Genomic DNA, 19,168 nt, shown 5'->3' with positions numbered 1-19,168 from the left:
TCAAAGATGCAGGTTGCACAGAAGTAAAACAAATACAGCCAAAATAAAGTGAACTTAGATGTGAGGGATGGAGATAAATACTCAGCAAATTCTTTTAAAGAGGTCTTCAATCGTTAAGACTGTTTAAAACCCTTACTAAATAAAAACAATGCTCCCTTATATTTAGAGTTCTTTATAGTTTCTTAAGTAATTCCTCATCTGTTATCCTATTTGATCCTACTAGGAATCTTGCAAAGGAGGTAAGGCAAATAACCTTATTCCAGTTTTACAGAAAGGGAAATGGTACTATAAAAATCAGAGTATAACATAGGCTCTACTAAAAATTTATACTGAGCAATTGCTATATTTGTTTTCCTACTGTGAAATAAATAATTGTCTTTTATTGAAAATATTGAAAACTAATATTTTCAGAAGGCTTTCTTCCCTATCATCTAAAAAGAGAATAATTTACCTGCTATCATGTTTCTAGGTTCCAACCATGAGAATACTAGTTTGGAATCAATGAGATGATGGGAATTTACGGCTTCTCCACCCGCTTCAAAAATATCACACTGTAATTCCTCCAACCCATGAATCATCTTTTGAAAGCCTTGAGTTATATTCTGAATCCTCATCTGGACCCAAGCTGGAGAAATGGCATCTTCTTTGAATTTCAGATTCCTTCTGTGCAATGGAGGCCAAGCCCTGCAGTGTTTTCCCTACCTGCCTTCACATGTGTAGCATGCTGAAACATGGGAACCATTTTGAGGAACATGTCATAATGAAATGAGATGATACCTCTTCTGACCTTAAATTACAGACAAAGTACTTCGTAGCTGAATTTTTCTCGGGCACAAAAAAGTCTCACATGATGGAAAAATTCCTTGGACCTGAATCTCAACCATCTGCCTGAATAGTTCCACAAGTGGCAGAAAGCATAGAGGAACTAACTAGTCATAGGGCTTTCTCTTGGAGATGCGGCAGTTTAGTTAGGTTGTTGTGCAGATTTAAGAGATCTGCAGTAGATACAGAATCTACTAAAGAGGAGAGTGAAGCAAATATGCATTAAAATAGGAGATATCTTTTATAAAATCATGGTAAGAAAGGAAATGTTTGAGAGTAAGGAATTGAAGCGTGGCAGAGTATGATCCTGAGTTAAGTGAAGTGCTCAGTAATGGTTCCCGAAATAACTGAAGCGGTAACATGTCTTTAGCACCCACTTAGCACCTCCTCATCTTCTCTTCACTAGGTCTAGCCTCCTCAACTGGATTGGAAGCTTCTTGAAGGCAGAGGATGAGTCTTCTTGACCCCAAAAGTTGCCTTATTCAGAGGTGATGGGCAACAGGTAATTCCTGAGAATGAATAGGAAAGCCAGACCTTGGCCTAGTTGGGGAAATGGTATGGGGAAATGCTCAACAGATCCAAGACATTATGGCATGGAGAAACCATTTCCCCACCGAAGTCAAGGTCTGGCTTTCCTGTTCATTCTCAGGAATTATCTGTTGCCCATCACCTCTGACTAAGGCAACTGCTGGGGTCAAGAAGACTCAGCCTCTGCCTTCAAGAAGCTTCCAATCCAGTTGAGGAGGCCATACCTAGAGATGAGAAGATGAGGAGTTACTAAGTGGGTGGTAAAGACATGCTACTGCTTCAGTTATTTTTGGACTCAGTTGGCCCTATGAAGTAGGCCAGAGATGTAGAAGGGGAAAGAGATTTCAGCCAAGGAGGAGAAAGGAGGAAAAGCCGGTGGGTCTCCACTTTATTTTGAGGGACAATGAATGGAAATGCCTCTAGGATCACCACTAATAAGAGGGCTTTAGAAGGACATGGTGAAAAAGAAGGCCCAAGAGAAAGGACAGGTGAGACCAGGACTTTAGTTGGCAAGGAGGGAGAGCTCCTAATGGTCAGTGGGGGAAGAAGTAACTCACAGAAGGAAGTATTTTAGAAAGATGAATCCTGCAACGGAGTATAGGATGGGTTGCAAAGAAGAGACTTGTACAAAGTGGTGACAGGTCATTTATTTAGAAAGAAATGTTTCCTTTTTGTTTAAACAACAAAACTTCATAGGGGAATAATTAATTTGCATCGTCTTGATTTGTTTACAATAAGTATGGTCAAATAAATGTCTAAAATCCAAACTCAGCCAAGTTCAAGTTTTCTCAACCCTGGGGATTTCCCTGATGTAATTGAAAAGCTATTATTCAACATCCTCTGAGCATCTTCTGAATCTCTGCACTGGATTATACTCATCATCTAATTTATGATGCAGGACTGAGAATAAAAATCTTTTTACTCATCAAAAGGAAAATATTTCCCAATTTTGAAAAGCTACATTTACCCAAAATTATAAAAATTTGCTTCATGTTTGTGTAAACATGATTCAGATCCTTTGGGGCATCAGCTGCCTATGCTTGATGGGAAAAGTTAAATAATTCAAATGGTAAAAACAAAACAAAACAAAACAAAAAAAACCCACATCCAACTGAAAAGTTTACGTAAGATTCTATTAGAAAAAGGTTGGTTAGTTTTGTCTTAGCATTCAGAACTAGGAATGCCCTTTGAGACCACATTTTACAAACTTTCACTTTATAGGAGAGGATGTTGAGGACTAGAGGGGTTTCAGGGCCTGTCACCTGTCTGATGAGTGGCCAGGCAGGACTGTGCTGGACACAGCCCACAACTTCCCTTTTGATGTTCCCTAGGATGCATGTTTATTCTAAATATCTTCCATCTCAAATGCATTACATATTTTCCAGGACAGAAGAGGAATATCTTTTTTCCTTCCTCCTGGAAATCTGATTTAACAAAGTTTTTTTTTTTTTTTTTTTTTTTTGAGACGGAGTCTCACTCTTTCGCCCAAGCTGGACTGCAGTGGCGCTATCCCGGCTTACGGCAAGCTCCGCCTCTTGGGTTCATGCCATTCTCCTGCCTCAGCCTCCCAAGTAGCTGGGATTACAGGCGCCCACCACCACTCCCGGCTAATTTTTTGTATTTTTTTAGTAGAGACGGGGTTTCACCGTGTTAGCCAGGATGGTCTCGATCTCCTGACCTCGTGATCTGCCTGCCTCGGCCTCCCAAAGTGCTGGGATTACAGGCGTGAGCCACCGCGCCCGGCCTAACAAAGTTTTTTGAGAGGCTACTGTGTGGGAAGAATCATGCTAAGTGCTGAAGAGGTAAGTGAGAAGGGCCCAGCTGCCCTGAAAACAGTGGAAAGGGGAGGAGACAAGTACAAAGCTCTTACCGTCCTAGGCAGAGAGTCAAATATGGGCGAAATGCTAACCCAGGCTGATGCATGCCCATAGCACCAGGTAGAGTTGCCCTGGGAAGAAGCAACTGATTACAAACCAGCATGAATCTGGGGCACTTTACACCTATAACTTTTGGGTTCAAGGTTTTTGAAACCACTGTTTGTTTGTTCTTGAAATGCAGGCCACATCACTCCCCACTGGCAGCCACACTGGCCTCTCGTGGTACCCAGTTTGGGTTACTCTGAAGAGTAAAGACACTGGTCGAGTCCCATCCCAGGCTTCACTACAGTGAGTCTCACATAGGACACATGCTCCATAGTTCAAGTCAAAATTAAGTGAAAAATCTAAATTAGGTGAAAAATGAAATCTAAATTAAGTGAAAAATCTCTCTAGCCATTTTCTTGTGATGCTTTTGTAGAAATTTAATTTTATTTCAATAAATGTTTGTCCTATTTCTTTGAGAAGGAAGATTAAGGCAACTAACAATGATTCAATGGGATCACCAAAGTTAAAAAGCAAGTGTATACCTTTCCTAGGGCTGCCATAACAAAATACCACAAACTGGGTGGCATAAGACAATGGAAATTTATTGTTTTCTAGTTCTGGAGGTGAAAGTTAGAGACCAAGACATCAGCACAGCCGAGCTCCCTCTGAAGGCTCTAGGGAAGAATCCTTGCTTGCCCCTTCTTAGTTTTTGAGGGTTCCTGGCATCTTTGGCATCCCTAGGCATGTGGCTGCCCCATTCCAATCTCTGCCTCCGTTGTCACAAGGCCTTCTCCCTGTGTCTCTCTGTGTGGCCTCTCCTAGTCATAGGGCCCACCCCAACTTGTATGACCTCATCGTATCTAATTCTATTTTCAAAGACCCATTCCCATCACATTCTGATGTTCCATGCGAACAAACATTTTGAGGGGGGATGGTATTCAGTTCACTACAGTAAACAAGAACATCAGGAACAGTACAAGGAAAAGAGCTTGCCAAATAAAACCGAGGGTGCGCCTGGGCACAGTGGCTCACGCCTGTAATCCCAGCACTTTGGGAGGCTGAGGCAGGCGGATCACTGGAAATCAGGAGTTTGAGACCAGCCTGGCCAACATGGTGAAACCCTGTCTCTACTAAAAATACAAAAATTAGCCAGACATGGTGCTGGGTGCCTGTAGTCCCAGGTACTTGGGAGACTGAGGCAGGAGAATTGCTTGAACCTGGGAGGCAGAAGTTGCAGTGAGCTGAGACCACACCACTGCACTCCAACCTAAGTGACAGAGTGAGACTGTCTAAATAAATAAATAAACTAATAAATAAATAAAAATAAAAATAAATTAAAAAAAAAACCCACAAAGGTGCTATGGTCTAAATGTGTCTTCCTGAAATTTATATGTTGAAACCTAATCACCAAAGTGACAGTATTAAAAGGTGGGGTCTTTGGAGGTAATAAGGTCATAAGGGCTGTACCCTGTGAATGGGACTAATGCTGTTATAAAAGAAGCCCCAGAGAACCTTGTCCCTTCCATCGTTCGAGGACACATAGAAAACACTGTCTATGAGGGACGGCCTCTCACCAGACACTGAATCTGCTATAGCCTTGATTTGGAACTTTCCAGACTCAAGAACTGTGAGCAATACATTTTTATTGTTCATAAATTACCCAGTCTAAGGTATTTATTGTAGCATGCTGAATGGACTATGACAAAGGAGAAGGTTGATACTCAAGATGCCTGCCACAGGGTATTCCACACACGATTAGAAGGTAGGCTGCAAATTTGTCACGGCAATTTCTTACATAGTAAAGTTGCTATGATTAAGAGCTCGGCCATTTGCTGACTTGCTTATGGTTTGAATCCTGGCTGATTTCACCAGTGTTATTTGGAGAGAATTACTTAACTTCCCTGTGCCTCAATTTCTTCATCTGTAAGATAGGAATAATGGCTGGGGGAATAAAATTAAATAATACATGCAAAGCACTTGCCACAAGTCAGTTCTTGCCATGGAAATGTTCGGTATGCAAGGTCTAGAAGGCAAAAAGTAAAGGAAGCTTCAAAGTTATGGTGTGGGAGGGAATTTCAAATGAATGATAAAATCTGGCTAGGGAGTTTAGAAAAGGCTTCGTGCGAGGAGTGGCCATTAGAACAATTTGTACACTTGGAGATGGGTGGGAAGATGCTTTTTCCAGCCGGTCTGGTTTTGGGGGAACAGGGACCAGTCTAGTTTGGCTGGAGCATAGAAAACAGAGAGGAAGTGTGTGGGACTAATTGGAAAGATGGGCAAAGCCCACCTGCGGACATCAGGGTGAAGAGGCTAACCCAATTGGCACAAGTGATCGTGTCCTCTGCCCAAGTTCTGACATCTGCATTGGCAATGGCTCTCCCAGGAAGAGGGACATTCCCTGGTCTCTGGAGAAGCCTAAACCAGCCTATGCCCTGCATCTCTGCACTGCTCCACTGCTGTTCCTCCTCCTGTCTGGTGGTTTTCAACCTGCTGTAAATTTTGTGGTTCTGTTTTGATGTATCTCACACCACTCCTCATTGGTAGAAACAGAACTGCCCACTGTTAGGGTTTTACACTTAACTCAGATGTTTTATTCCAAACTTGGAGTTTTACAATCTTGTACTGCATGTCTCTCCACCCCCTCACTTCTTTATCTATATCCAGGGTTATATATGTGACTCTGTGTCTGGTCCCCCGTGACCCCTGGATCATTTCCATGCTGTCTCTGGGATCCACAGGCATTCTAAATCTTATCCTGACCTAATTCGCCTCTTCCTTCTCTGCAGGGCACTGCAATGCGCTCACATAGTACTGCTCTGTATCAGAGATGTGGCAAGCTGCTCTCCCCCAGTCACAAACCATAAAATTAAGAAGGGCAAGACTCTCCTGATTAATTTCATTTGTCTGTCTTTAAACCCATTAAAGAAAATGCCTGTTTCAACCATTCTTTTGCAAGCATATTTGTAAATAATACTTAAAAAACACTTCATCTAATTATTCTTACCACAGCTGAATGCTAACAAATTGAAGATGAGATTTATGTTTAGACAGCTTTAAGGTACTAATTTTTTCACAACAATAGGCGCTGCAATTGACAAAATTAAAAAAGAAGATGTAGACCAACAAAAATTAATTTGCACCAGGCTTAATAGTTTCTCTAAGTAAATCAGCCTCTCCTCGGCTGCCTAAGAAAAGCCATAAAAATTTCTGAGAAGAATCTGGAGTTTAGGATTCCACACTAATTGCTTTCTCTCCCCTTTTACGTCACCTCCTTTTCTTGTTCATCTTGACTGCAAGGGGACACGCAGTTTCTATATTCAAAATGCCTTCGGCTCTGCTGGGGTAAGGAAGTCAGGGGGAGGAGGGGGCAGGCCAGGGAACCACATAAATAAATGGGAATTTCTACATGGACATGAGGATTTTCTTCTTCATTTTAAAAAAATGAGAATAAGGCACGAGTATAAATTCCAAAAAGAGCAATTTATTTAAGTCTATCATTTTTGGCAACACAATAGAACGCAGTTTGGGATGAACAGTCACAAATCACTCCCCTTCCCACTGTCTGTTTTCTCCACCATATGTTGTGGAGAATACAATTCACATGCTGAAGCTTCGCCTCCTCTCCATGTGAGAAAGCACATTGTGCTATCAGCGGCCTGGTCACTGAGCCAGTGTTTTTTGGAGTGGTGGGGTGGGAATAAAGAGAAAGTAAGGAATACAGCTAACCCTCCAGTCAAATATTTTTCTTTTTTCTTTTCTTTTTTTTCTCTGAGATGGAGTTTCGCTCTGTCACCCAGGCTGGAGTGCAGTGACGTGATCTTGGCTCACTGCATCCTCCACCTCCTGGGTTCAAGTGGTTCTCCTGCCTCAGCCTCCCAAGTAGCTGGGATTACAGGCGTGTGCCACCACACCTGCCTAATTTTTGTATTTTTAGTAGAGATGGGGTTTCACTGTGTAGGCCAGGCTGATCTCAAACTCGTGACCTCAGGTGATCTGCCTGCCTTGGCCTCCCAAAGTGCTGGGATTGCAGGTGTGAGCCACCATGCCCAGCCACCAGTCAGAATATTTTTCAAAACCCCAAGAACTTTAAAAATAGTTTACTTGGCAGCAATATGGACTGGCCTGAGCTGGACTGGGTACTTTCGATGATAACTTTCATCAACTCTCAGAACTTCTGAGCAGAAGACAACTTGAGGGGCCACCAAGCAAGCAGGTGGCTTTGATGACCTATCGATCTCTTTCTCAGTTTGCTGTTTTATACAGAGTGGTCGCTCTGCTTCCCCAGAACCAGTGAGATGTGAATCGGAGGTATTTACTTAGTAGAAAACGTAGGTTTTGATATTTGCCCATGCCCCCCATGGACTCTCCTGGTCCTTCCCTGATGGATTGAAATGAGAGAGCAGTCATTGGTGAGATAAATTAAAAGTAACTGCCTGGCATACCAACTATTGCAAACTCATTAGTACTTTGTTGTAACCTAACAAGCTGACACATCGACAAGGCATCTATACACCCAGAGACAAACTAAAGCTATACAAGATCCTTCAATACCAGTCTCTTCATCACGACAATGACTGTTGGACGTTCTCTGTGCCATAACTTTCATAACTCCACATCCATGTACAGGGCACAGATGGCCCTGATGAAACAAGGCTTTCTAGAGACATTCTAAGCTGACTCAGTATGAGGTCAAGTATTTTATGAAGCCCTGCTCTTTCAGATGTTTAAAGAGGAAAAAAAGAAAAAAACCCAACCCTTGTGTTTTCATTTACAGCATGACAATTTTGAAACACTATTTTAACAGTGTTCTAATCAATTACAAAATGAAAGTTAACCTTCATGCGACGTTATGAAAAGCAAGAAAAATCTTGGGAGTTTTGAGAATCACAGGTAAAAAAGGAGATTTGACTCCTTAAGTTGCGCATCAAACTTTTCGTCTTGTCTAAATTAAAGTGAACAGATGTGGAAAAAAATGAGTCAGGGTCTCCCCATATAATTCCAAATGAGCTTTCAGGTTCTGCTTCCTACGGCCAATTTTAGCTTAAGCTGCCTTATTGCCTAAAATCTGCAACTCGATACTAAAAGCTTGTCAAAATTAAGTGCGTGCTTTATAAGTTTACATTTTTACAGTCTAACTGTTTTTCTTTGATATTTGACAGGGACACAGGTTCCCATGTCATCTGGCCTTGAAGTACTTTTAGAACTTTCTCCTGGACCAATCTGAGGGAGCTCAAGGTTGTGGTGAGTTATGGGGCCTTTAAGTTGCCTGCCCAGCAGCCGGCCCTTGGGCCCACACTTGAGGGCTAACACCTGCTGGCTGGACAGAGCAATTAATTTTTTTAAAAATGCGGTAAGCTGCCAAAAATCAAAGCTAGAGGATAAAAATAAAATTTTACCTCTTGAGCTTCCAGGGGTGGCCTTTGATCTCTTCCAATGCTTGTGTGGCAGGAGGCATGGATCTTAAATTTTCCTGCAAAAGAAGCACCTTTGAAAGACACCAAACACCAAACGCTGACTGCTGACTGTCTCTATCCTCCGTCCTATCACTCTCACATAATTACACTGACACCTAACCGAGATAGTCCCTCACAGCAAAAAGACAAATCTACCAAATGTCCCCTTCTTTAAGAAAATTATCATTGGAAGCTCTTAAATTATACCACAGTCTATCCCTCATAAGATCAAATGTTATTTCTCTAAGAGGCGATAGTTGGGTTTTCCGGTTGATGATTATAATGTGGCATTCGTTTCAGAATGCCTGTACATTAAATAGATAACTGAACTTCAAAGAGCTAAATACCAATCATGGGCTGGGGCACGGCCACACATACAGCCTCCCTCCTTCTCCAAACTCTTTGGTAGCCAAGACAAGGTCACTGGTCAGGGTAATTTGCAGGAAAAGTCAATTTCTCAAGTACCGAAGCAGGTGTTGTGGCACTCTATGACAATTTACTGAATCTAAATTGAGGAAGTTGAAAAAAGCAAAGGTCATGATCCACAGGAAGAAAGGAGGAAAGAAAATCTCTTTGACTGTATTTTTAACTCCTTTCAACCAAGATGCACTCACCAACCGAGACAATGAACGCTAAAAATAAATAAACGAAAACCGGAGTAGCTCATTCCAATCAGCAACTTATCTGATTTCTTTCACTAAAGCAGGGGATTTCATGTTTGCTTGAATTCACAAGGAAATAAGCTCAATTTATAACAGCTAAAGAACAACTCTTCTGCTTGTGAGTGTTTGGGTAGCAAAAATCAAACCAAGATATCAGAACTTTCTGTCTTTAAATCAAATAATATATATTATATAATACATACTACTTATCATAGAGTATATAGCATAGTTATAGAATAATATATGATAAACATATAGTATATAACCCTGGATATTTTATTTGAAATCCACACATTCCCCATTTCCCCAAAACTAGGGATAGGGAACACAGTCAAAATGGAAAATACTTTCAAGAAGGGAAAAGAAACATGAACCTTACAATCCATAATGTTGTTGATGTGGCAAGGAGATAATGGGATGTGGAATTAGAAGATTTGAACATGAGTTCTAGTTAATCACTAATTAGCTGTGTAATTAGAACAAATCATTTAATCTCTTCCAGTCTCCATTTTCTCATCTGTAAAACTGGAGGTTGTAAGGATTAGATAAACTAATATATGTGGAAGCATTTGGCAAATTAGAAATGTTTCATTATCACTGCCAACCCTTATGGCGTATTTTCCCGAAGGGTGAAATGCATATACCACTGGTATGCATGAGGTTGGGGTAGGCACTGAAAGTTTAAAAAAATGAGTCAGTGTGAAAAAAAGTTAAATAAATAATAGTACAGGTGGAAAAATATTGAAAGTAGCATGCAAAAGATTGACATTTGGGTGACTTCTCCAGATATAAATTCTTCCTGGGAGGAAGGGAAAAGAGATGGAACCACCAAACTCACTAAGGATGTCTCCAGTACAAAAAAAATTATTTTAAAATGTAGATAAATGGGTTACCTTTTAGTTAAACATTCAACCTAGAAAGAAAAAAATATATATGATTTGCTTGCATGCCAACTTCTCTTATTAAAAAAAAAAAACTCATGAAAACAACACTGTCCACATAATCCAAAACTGAGTTCTAGCTTGTAAGCTCAATATTTTCAAGCAATATTACATGCAATAAAATTGCATTTAATTGCTCTTCCAGAATAATCTGAATGTTCCCCCTTGGAATTTATGTCCTCTGTCTAACAAGGGAAGCTCATAGAGTGTTTTTGGTCAGAGTGTAATAGCCATAAGTTATCATAAATGTACACTAACCTCCTCATTTTATAGATAGGGAAACATAACTGGAGAAGGGCAGCCATTTGGTGACTCCCCATATGTTGCAGATCTGGAACTAGAACTGGCTTTGGGTCCATAGACTAAGTCCAGGGCCTCTCCTACTTCCTAAATGTCAAGTACTTAATGTCCAAGCAAAGTCAGGAGAAACATTTGACATTTAAATTCCCTCTGTTTATTTATTTATTTTTTTAATTTACTGGTGCTAGTGAAAATCCTGTGTCAAGCACAGAGGGCAACCTTAAAAAGCATTAAGCACTCAATACATTAAGAATTGAAATATATTACCTTCTTCCAGTCTCATATTCTTATTTGTTCTTAAATTTTATGGTTCTTCTATATTCTTAGTTTAGTTCTGAAGTTACTTTCCCTGTTTCTGTTATCTCCCCTTGAGTATAAAATATACTCTCATGAAGGTACTTCTTAATATTATCCAGGGTGTTTGTGAACCATCTACATTTATAGGAATATATATATTTTTTTCTTTTTGAGATGGAGTTTCACTCTTGTCGCCCAGGCTGGAGCGCAGTGGTGTGATCTCAGCTCACTGCAACCTCCGCCTCCCAGTTTCAAATGATTCTCCTGCGTCAGCCTCCCGAGTAGCTGGGATTACAGGTGCCCGCCACTATGCCTGGCTAATTTTTTGTGTTTTTAGTAGAGACGAGGTTTCGCCATGTTGGGCAGGCTGGTCTGGAACTCCTGACCTCAGGTGATCTGCCCACCTCGGCCTCCTAAAGTGCTGGGATTACAGGCGTGAGCCACCATGCATAGGAATATTTTAATATTTGGTATTGATAACTGAAAATTCAGCATACAAAAACACTTGTCTATAAGGAAAACAATATACATGTTGACACATATTATTACACTTGGAGTATTTAATGCAAAGGTAGTGTGCCTTTTTTTGTTGTTGTTGGTACTCCTTGTTTAGTGAAACATTTTCCAGCAGCCAGTCAAATAAATTGCTGGCAAATGAATAATATTTTAGCCATCAAGAGTCAATGATCATGTTGGCCTCCAGAAACCAAACTCCAAACATGTTGAGAGAAACATTCTCTGCCATGGCAGTCTCAAAACACCCTGGCATTTTACTGATACCTCTGGCACTATGCCTTCCAAAATCAGGCCAGCCCAGAGCCTCGCTTATTTTAAAGTTTCTTTTTTTTATCATTACATTTTAATTTTGAAATAATTTCAGGCATATGAAAAAGCTGCAAAAATAAGACAAAGAGCTTTCATATACCCTTCATCCAAATTTCCAAAATGTCCACATTTTACCACAGTAGCTTTAGCGTACTCTCCTTCTTTTAAAAGACTAATAGATCAATGGGTACATTTTTTTTCTTGAACCATCTGAGAATAAATTGTATGCATTATATCCTTTTACCCCTGAATATTTTAGTGTTGTAGTTCCCCCATATAAGGACATTGTCTTTCATAGCTGCAGTACAAAAATCAAAATCAGGAACTTGGAATCAATATAGCACTGTTACCTAATCTACAGACCTTATTCAGTTTTTCCCAATTGTCCCACTGATTTGGTTTGCAATACTTTTGATACTTCATGTCATCTTCTAAATGCATTGCTCTGCCCTATACATTGGGAATTCTGTAAGCCAGAAGCTCTTGTTCCCATACAAATAATTCAAATATTTTAAATTAATTAGTTATATAAATTGCTCAGATTGAAGGAATATTCATGTTTAAATTTGTATACCAGACATGTTAACACAACTTCTAGTGACTCACTATGAGTCACGTGATCATGCCCCCAGAGTGTGTTTCATGCTAACACTGTGAACTTGCCTGAGTGCTTGTGCTTTGTGGAGATGGGGTCCATAGCCATGGAAAGTTAACCATAGACCCTCACCTAAGTGCCCTGGAGAAATTCTCCCAGCATTAGTCTTGATAGCAGGCTTGATTTCCTCTTCTGGCTAATGGGTCACTTGAGATCTTCCCATCGCTTCATGATGTGAATTATATGAGATAAAGAAAGCATTAGGACAGGGGCTGGCTTATTAAGTGCCCAATCACTTATAGACATAATTGGTTTTATTAGTTGAATGAACTAACAGTCAAATACACTATGTTTTGCATGAAACAGGATAAAATTTATTTTCAATTTGATTTAAAGTAATTAGCACATTCATTTTCCACAGCTTTTCTAATCAAGCTAAATCCTAGGCCTCCTCATGGAAAAATAAATAAGCGCAATATTATCTTGAAATTTAAAAAGTTAAGACAACACATGAAAGTAACAACAGAGAATAGGGGTAGGAGCTGTATTATTTGTATATTGCCATGGATACTTTACTTACAATGCAATAGAACAACACATCCATACACTTTCTGTCAAATCATATTTCTAATCTTTGTCTAAAGTCTTAATATAGGAACATTTATTGGAGAAATGAAATAAAATTAGAAGGCTCCTTCTTTCCTTCTCTTTCTCCTTCCTTCCTTCTCTTTCTCTTTCTCTCTTTCTTTCCTCTTCCTTTCTTCTTCTCTCTTTCTCTTTCTTCTTGCTTGCTTTCCTCTCTTTCTCCTACCCCCCACCTCAGTCTTTCTTTCTGTCTCCCTCTCACTTACATGAAGGGACACATCTAGCTTAGGAATGTGGCACAGAGCTAATTAGCCAGGCAAATAAATAAATACAGTAGAATACACAAATAAAGGTGGCCACAACTGCAGGCACTCAGGTTGAGTGAGAGGGGCCCAGTCCTTCACAGGTCACACTGGCCTCTTTTCTACCACCACTGACTGTCCTGTAAGCACAGCTGACACCACTTCGCCTCCAGCAAGATCAGAGCACAGCGTCACAGAAACAGAGGCAGCATTGTCTTCATGTTCACACGGAAACACCGTCCAATGTGCTCTGATCAGCAGCTGCAACATGGCCTTCCCCATGGTGGCAGCTCCAGGGCCTCCCTGGAAAGCCATCTGCCTCATCCTCCAATGGCCACTTTTCTTCCATCAACCTGTCTTCCATAAAATGCCTTATCTTGGTTTTTTAAAACTCTTCAATCCCTCTGGGACTGTGAGAATTCTCACCTTCCCTATTTGTACAAATTGCCTTTAAATGAGAAGTTATTTGGCCTGTGGTGGGCACTGTCACCTGGAGCCAAAAGCTCAATGTGAGCTATGATTAATGAATTATAAAGCCAATTCACCGAGCCATTACATTAGTGGAGCACTGTTGTAAGCAGGAACTAATTCTATGTGGAAATAATCATTCAACCTGAGAAAGGCATTTCCTATCCATTAGAAAATACTACAAAGAGATAATACTTAAAAAAAAAATCCACATACTATTGGCCAAAACAAAAGATTATTCAACCTTTAAAAACAAATTTGAATTTTGGCTTAATTATAGGTTTTGCTCTTATAATAAAAGAAATGCTACTTGATTATTTGATTATAAGCAATTTAGTACATGACCAGTTCTTGAAAAAAAAATTTCTTTTAATTAAAATCCCTCAATTTGTGTTTTATTACCAAAAGCCTCCATAGGGGAAAAAATGTTTTTAAGACTATAACACAGGTTTAGGGAAAAATTTTGGTGATTATTGTTCATTTATTTTCCTTATTAAGCTAATTTAATTATCATTGAGACACAAACATTAGCTCCAGTACTGGGCTTCTCACATCTGTTAGTAAAGATTTGATTAGGGCTACACAAATGTGCTAGATTAAACTATCTAGTTGGTGAAATTCAAGCCACCTGGATATTTTAGCAACATCAATAAGAATAATTCTCTTTTTCAAAATCAGTAAATCCAAGCTATATTAAAAAGAATTAATTAATGAGTGCCAGATAGGCAAAACAAACATTTGACAATGAATCATATTATCAAAGGTTTTGAGGGAGATCCCTCTCAGCTTATGTTTAGATGTCAAATTATATTACCAAAACTAAACAATCTGTTAAGATGATGTCTTAATGCAATAAGTCTCTAGTGCCATACGGGGTTTTCTTGATTTTTTTTTAACTTCTTAAACATTGTTAGTGGAAAAAAAGATATGCTCTATTTACCAATGATAATCAAATCATAAGACATTTGCCCCCAAATGTTACCTTGGATATTTCCAAGAGCTGTTAGTCATTGAAATCCTATTTAAGATACTGTTAAAAGTTTAGTTAATGTATCACACATATGTCTTGATGTATGCTTCATAGGAGGGACTCAGTAAAGACACGGGTATTGAAATAATTAATATATAAACATTAGGGGTTTCATAAAATATATAAAGAATTCTAGAATTAGAAAGAACTCAAAAAATTATCCAGTCCAGGGCTGGCAAACTTACTCTGTAAATGGGCAGATAGTAAATAACCTAGGCTTTGTGAGCCTGATGGTCTCTGTAACAACTATTCAACTTTGCCCTTGTAGTCACAGACAAGAGTAAACTAATGGGCATGTTTGTGTTTCAATAAAACTTTATTTACAAAGGCAAGTAGCAGATGGAATTTGGCCCACCAGCAGTATATTGATAATCCCTCATGGAACCAAATTTCTGTATTTTAAAAACCGACACCTTCGGCCTCGTGTGGGATGGCAGCTTGCCCAAGGTTAAACAGCAAGTTAAGCAGGAAGTGGCAGAGTTGAAGTTGAATTTGACCCTTCCAGCTTCCAGGGAAGTGCTGGATTCATTGTAATGACACATGGATGGTCGGCTGTGTCCAGATGGAAAGTCTGCCTCAGTCTTAAAGCAGATCCGAAATGCTTCATGCGTTTGATGTCTATAGAATTGTGATGTGCGGATGGCTCCTCACATCTCCAGTGAATAAGTTGCTTTTCAGAGACCTAAGCAGAATCACAAATCATATTTTTTGGGAAAGGAACATGAACATCCTTACAGTTAACCAAGCATGAAAATGCTCGCCTGAAAAGCCACACATGGCTTGCTTCATTAAAGACCATTTCAGTCTTGAAAAACTGCATTTCTATTGAATATTTATAACAAATATGAATGAATAAAAAGAATTTAAAGTGGAAAAAACCCTATGTGTTGTGATTCCAAATTAAATCTTATTTTCATGGTTGACAGTGTTTTGTATTCCCCTGGTTTGCATGGTATAAAGAACCATCTTATTACAATGCCCTTTTCCAGCACCAAATCATAAGACTTTCTAGATTAACACTTGAGTCACCAACATTCATTTTCCAGTGGGGTTTTCCCCTTTCACATAGCTCATTCTTTTCATTTGGAAGGAAGCGGAAGAAATGAGTCCCTAAGCAATCCTAAATGGGGATGTGGGTCTGGGTCTTTCTCTGTGGATATCTGCATGGAAGGGCTTTGTAATCCTTGCCCTAAAACTGACAGTCCAGAAAGACATGATTGATGAAAGGGAACTGGATATTTGAGTCAAAATGGACCGTCATTAACTAACTGAACCAAGTAAATGAAATGGAGTTTCCAAGGGGCAGTGGGGCACATTCTTCTTGAAAACATGGGCCCAATGTTCAGGATGTGTTTTACTGAAGGGGGTGGGGGAGTGGTGGTAGCCATTACTTAATGGCTCCCAGCTTGCAAAGGTGAAATAGCCCATACTATATATGTAAATATATATATATATATATATACACACACTTATATGTATATATATAATCCACACACATATTTTTTTTCTTCAGCAGTTCTGTGTTGATGTTGATTTGCACATCTCTCACTGAACAGATGAGGGTACATCTTCTCCTGTGTCATGCATTTTCTGGCTCTGAAATCACAAAAATAATACTCATAGATGCAAATAAAATTATGCTACTGTAATTGTTTTCTAGTTTAGTTAGGTATTGTATATCAGCTTAGAAGTAAATTAAGCTGTATCTTTTCCTGCTTTATGTAATCAAACAAAAATGCACAAGATAAAAATCTTACATTTCTGTGAAATTATATTTTCATACATGGGCTTCTTTTTGATCAAAATGGTAGATTTTTAAAATAAATTGTATCATTTTTATAATACTTCATGTTAGAACTTAGCCCATATGTAATATCAAGTACAACTTTAGAATATAATAAAAATCCATATATTATTGAAATATTGGAGCATACAAATGTTTTTAAAATAAAAGTTCAACCTCTGCCCCGCCACCAGCCCCCACACAAAAAAGCTACCATATTGCTTTAGGTCATGGATAACAAAAGCATGAATGATTCAGATGAACACCTTTTGAACTTTTTTCACGAAGACTTGAGTGGTAAGATAACTTAAAGTCTTAACCATAATGCATGCAGGTGGCCCTTTCTCAGCTTGAAACATCTTGAAACAGTTTCCGTGCCTAGCAAGGAGGCTCTTGTGTCAGTGTGGCTTGCTCAAGAAGGATGGAAAGAGAGTATGCAAATGAGTGCATATTTATTGGTTCAGGAGTAAGACTTAGAGTTGAGCGGTGCAAAATCTCATTACCCTTTCTTAGAAGCTGGCCAGAGTTCATAAAGGGAATAAAAATGCGTTTTTCATTATGTTTTATTCACTGAAGGAATTTCTGTTTTTTTTGTTTGTTTGTTTTTTTGTAATAGATGATTAAAGAATACAGGACAGCATGTTATGCAAGAATAACAAAGACAAACAATTAGCAAGCTGTTGAGTTAGAGTGGATCTACTGTGGTGCATATATAATTGTAGGACTAAACAAACGCCTGTGCATTGTTAATGGGTGAACATATTGGCTGAGCTATCTGAGCTATTCCTGCTTATAAGATAGAACCTGAAGCAAGTGTATAAGACTTTGTAGTTTGTATTTTTATATTAGCCTTATTGTTTACTCCATGTTATGTTCTTACTTTTGTTTTTCTCCTCATTTATGTTATCTTGAAGTGTCTTATGTACCCTTAGAAGCTACTTTAGGTCCAATTTAGAGCTACACATATAGTTTGAATTTTACACAATTATGGAAATTTGAAGATGTTATCATTCACTGACGGGCACAAATTATTATAAGAAAAGCTGAAGTCATTAGCCCAAATAAAGGATTAGAATTAACAATGAAAGTGAACTTAGAGTATAATTAATGAATTCTCTAATTGCTCTTCCTGTGTTAGTTCATTAAGCCTGACTATTGAGTGGATATTCAGGCATCTGTCTCCAACATCTGTCATCTCATTGATTCCCGGGTTGACTCTGTTGAAGCCTGGGAGGAAGGGTTTGCCTTTCCTCCTTCACTGCTCTTTGCATTTCCCTCCAAAATCTGAACATGCTATGAAAATGAAAACCTTTCTCCAATATAATTGTCTGACAATGGGCAGAACCACTGTGAGAAAGGTTTAAGACTTCCATGGAAAGGTTGCAGATTATGCTCACTTCAACCTTTGCTGCCATCGATTGTGCATGGTTAACAGCAGAGCAGCCCTTGGCCATGTGTCACCTTTAGGCTCAGAGTTTTGCTGGTACTGAGATAGTATATGGGCAGATATCTGCTCAGATAGATGACATTCCCAACCCACAGACTCATTTGTTGGGAACAAGTTCACAGCCAGTGTGTGGGAGGCACCACACGACCCTCCCCAGCAGGAAGACTCACAATAGGTCTCACTGTGTTCAAAGACTGACAGCATAGAGGAGAAATGAGCTCATCCTTTTCTTGTCTGGTATTCTACTCCAACCTTTATTGGACTGGTGTTCTAGGTAACCCACTCACTAAAATTTGCAGGAGCAGAAAGATCTAGGTGGGGTGGAGGCACAGAAAGAGATAAAAAGTGAGTCACTATCTTGTAATCAACTTGTTAAGTTCCAGGACTTTGCATTAAAAAGGAACAGTTGCTTAGGCTATTATTAAAGGGAACAATAGCACTTTAGCTGCAGAGTAGCTGGCTAGCAAAAGCAATCCCAGGATAAGTTCAAAGCTGGAAATAATGTTGGTTGGGGGCAGCAGGCTGGGTTAAAACACTTTCTCTGCAGATACAGGTGGTGATTTACACACGCAGTTGAAATGAGTTCAGGATATAATATTATAAAGCTCACTGCTATTTTTAAAATAGGTTGGCTTCAGCTTGTACCTGCAGATACTTACATGTATACTTGTTCATACTTATATATACTTACATGTATACTTACATACAGATATACAGATACTTATATGTATACTTGTTCGTGACCATTAGTATTAACAACATATAACCTTTGGGATATTTCAGAGTTCCACACTTGACCTTACCCAAAAGATCTAGAAGTGATTGTTTTCAGAGTTCCAGTTGCATGGATTTATTAGAAAATGCTCTTCTGTATGGAAGATATGGCTTGCTGTTGTATTTCTCTTTTGCAGAAAAGCAAGTCCAACAAATCAGTGACATTATTATAGCCAGAAATTATCTATGGGGCTCCACTTCCCCAGGCTCTATTTCAAATTGGTGTGGGGCTATATGGAAGTTAGGGGGTGGAAAGACCATGGAATAATCAGGAGATTAAGTTTCCAGTCCAGGTTCTGCCACCAAACAGCTCCATAACCTCAGCAGGTCTCCTCCTTGTTCCGTCCTTGTGGAAGAAAGAGTTGAACTCACTGCTTTCTAAAGCTTCCTTCCAGGTCTTACTTGTTTGAACATTATGTTCTTTCCCCTCTGGAGAAACAAGGGTTATTCCCTGTGGGTGGTGGTCTGAGGAAATCACTCTCAGCGAGTAAACT

General features: G+C 39.3%; 1 long non-coding RNA gene across 2 annotated transcripts in view, besides 4 other annotated features; it reads right to left on the bottom strand.

Annotated features, from left to right (window-relative positions):
* Positions 7,796-8,995: an enhancer, noted in NCBI's record as "BRD4-independent group 4 enhancer chr10:119973305-119974504 (GRCh37/hg19 assembly coordinates)". NCBI's record gives its function as "activates an origin of replication core promoter dependent on BRD2, P300/CBP, MED14 and CDK7 cofactors, and independent of BRD4, by STARR-seq in HCT116 cells {active_cell/tissue: HCT116}" and the evidence as "EXISTENCE:reporter gene assay evidence [ECO:0000049][PMID:35650434]".
* The window catches only part of CASC2 (cancer susceptibility 2), a 163,333-nt gene continuing 156,799 nt past the window's right edge, over positions 12,635-19,168 (bottom strand). The window contains exons 4-5 of one of the 2 annotated variants that reach the window (NR_026939.1): positions 16,167-16,266; positions 12,635-15,352 (exon numbers count right to left, since the gene is read on the bottom strand). This is a non-coding gene — a long non-coding RNA (cancer susceptibility 2). The remainder of the gene's footprint in view (positions 15,353-16,166; positions 16,267-19,168) is intronic. The other variant, NR_026940.1, reaches the window with a different exon arrangement.
* Positions 13,237-13,531: an enhancer, noted in NCBI's record as "tiled region #3281; HepG2 Activating DNase matched - State 9:DNaseU". NCBI's record gives its function as "activates a minimal TATA promoter and a strong SV40 promoter by Sharpr-MPRA in HepG2 cells {active_cell/tissue: HepG2}" and the evidence as "EXISTENCE:reporter gene assay evidence [ECO:0000049][PMID:27701403]".
* Positions 17,481-18,065: an enhancer, noted in NCBI's record as "OCT4-NANOG-H3K27ac hESC enhancer chr10:119964235-119964819 (GRCh37/hg19 assembly coordinates)". NCBI's record gives its function as "activates a minimal SCP1, AML or CMV promoter by ChIP-STARR-seq in naive H9 embryonic stem cells {active_cell/tissue: H9 hESC(naive)}" and the evidence as "EXISTENCE:reporter gene assay evidence [ECO:0000049][PMID:30033119]".
* Positions 18,066-18,650: an enhancer, noted in NCBI's record as "OCT4-NANOG-H3K27ac hESC enhancer chr10:119963650-119964234 (GRCh37/hg19 assembly coordinates)". NCBI's record gives its function as "activates a minimal SCP1, AML or CMV promoter by ChIP-STARR-seq in primed H9 embryonic stem cells {active_cell/tissue: H9 hESC(primed)}" and the evidence as "EXISTENCE:reporter gene assay evidence [ECO:0000049][PMID:30033119]".

Source organism: Homo sapiens, chromosome 10, assembly GCF_000001405.40.
Source record: "Homo sapiens chromosome 10, GRCh38.p14 Primary Assembly".
In the NCBI taxonomy this organism is placed as follows: domain Eukaryota; kingdom Metazoa; phylum Chordata; class Mammalia; order Primates; family Hominidae; genus Homo; species Homo sapiens.
The sequence above is the reverse complement of the archived record's forward strand: the minus strand, read 5'-3'. Positions and strand labels throughout refer to the sequence as shown.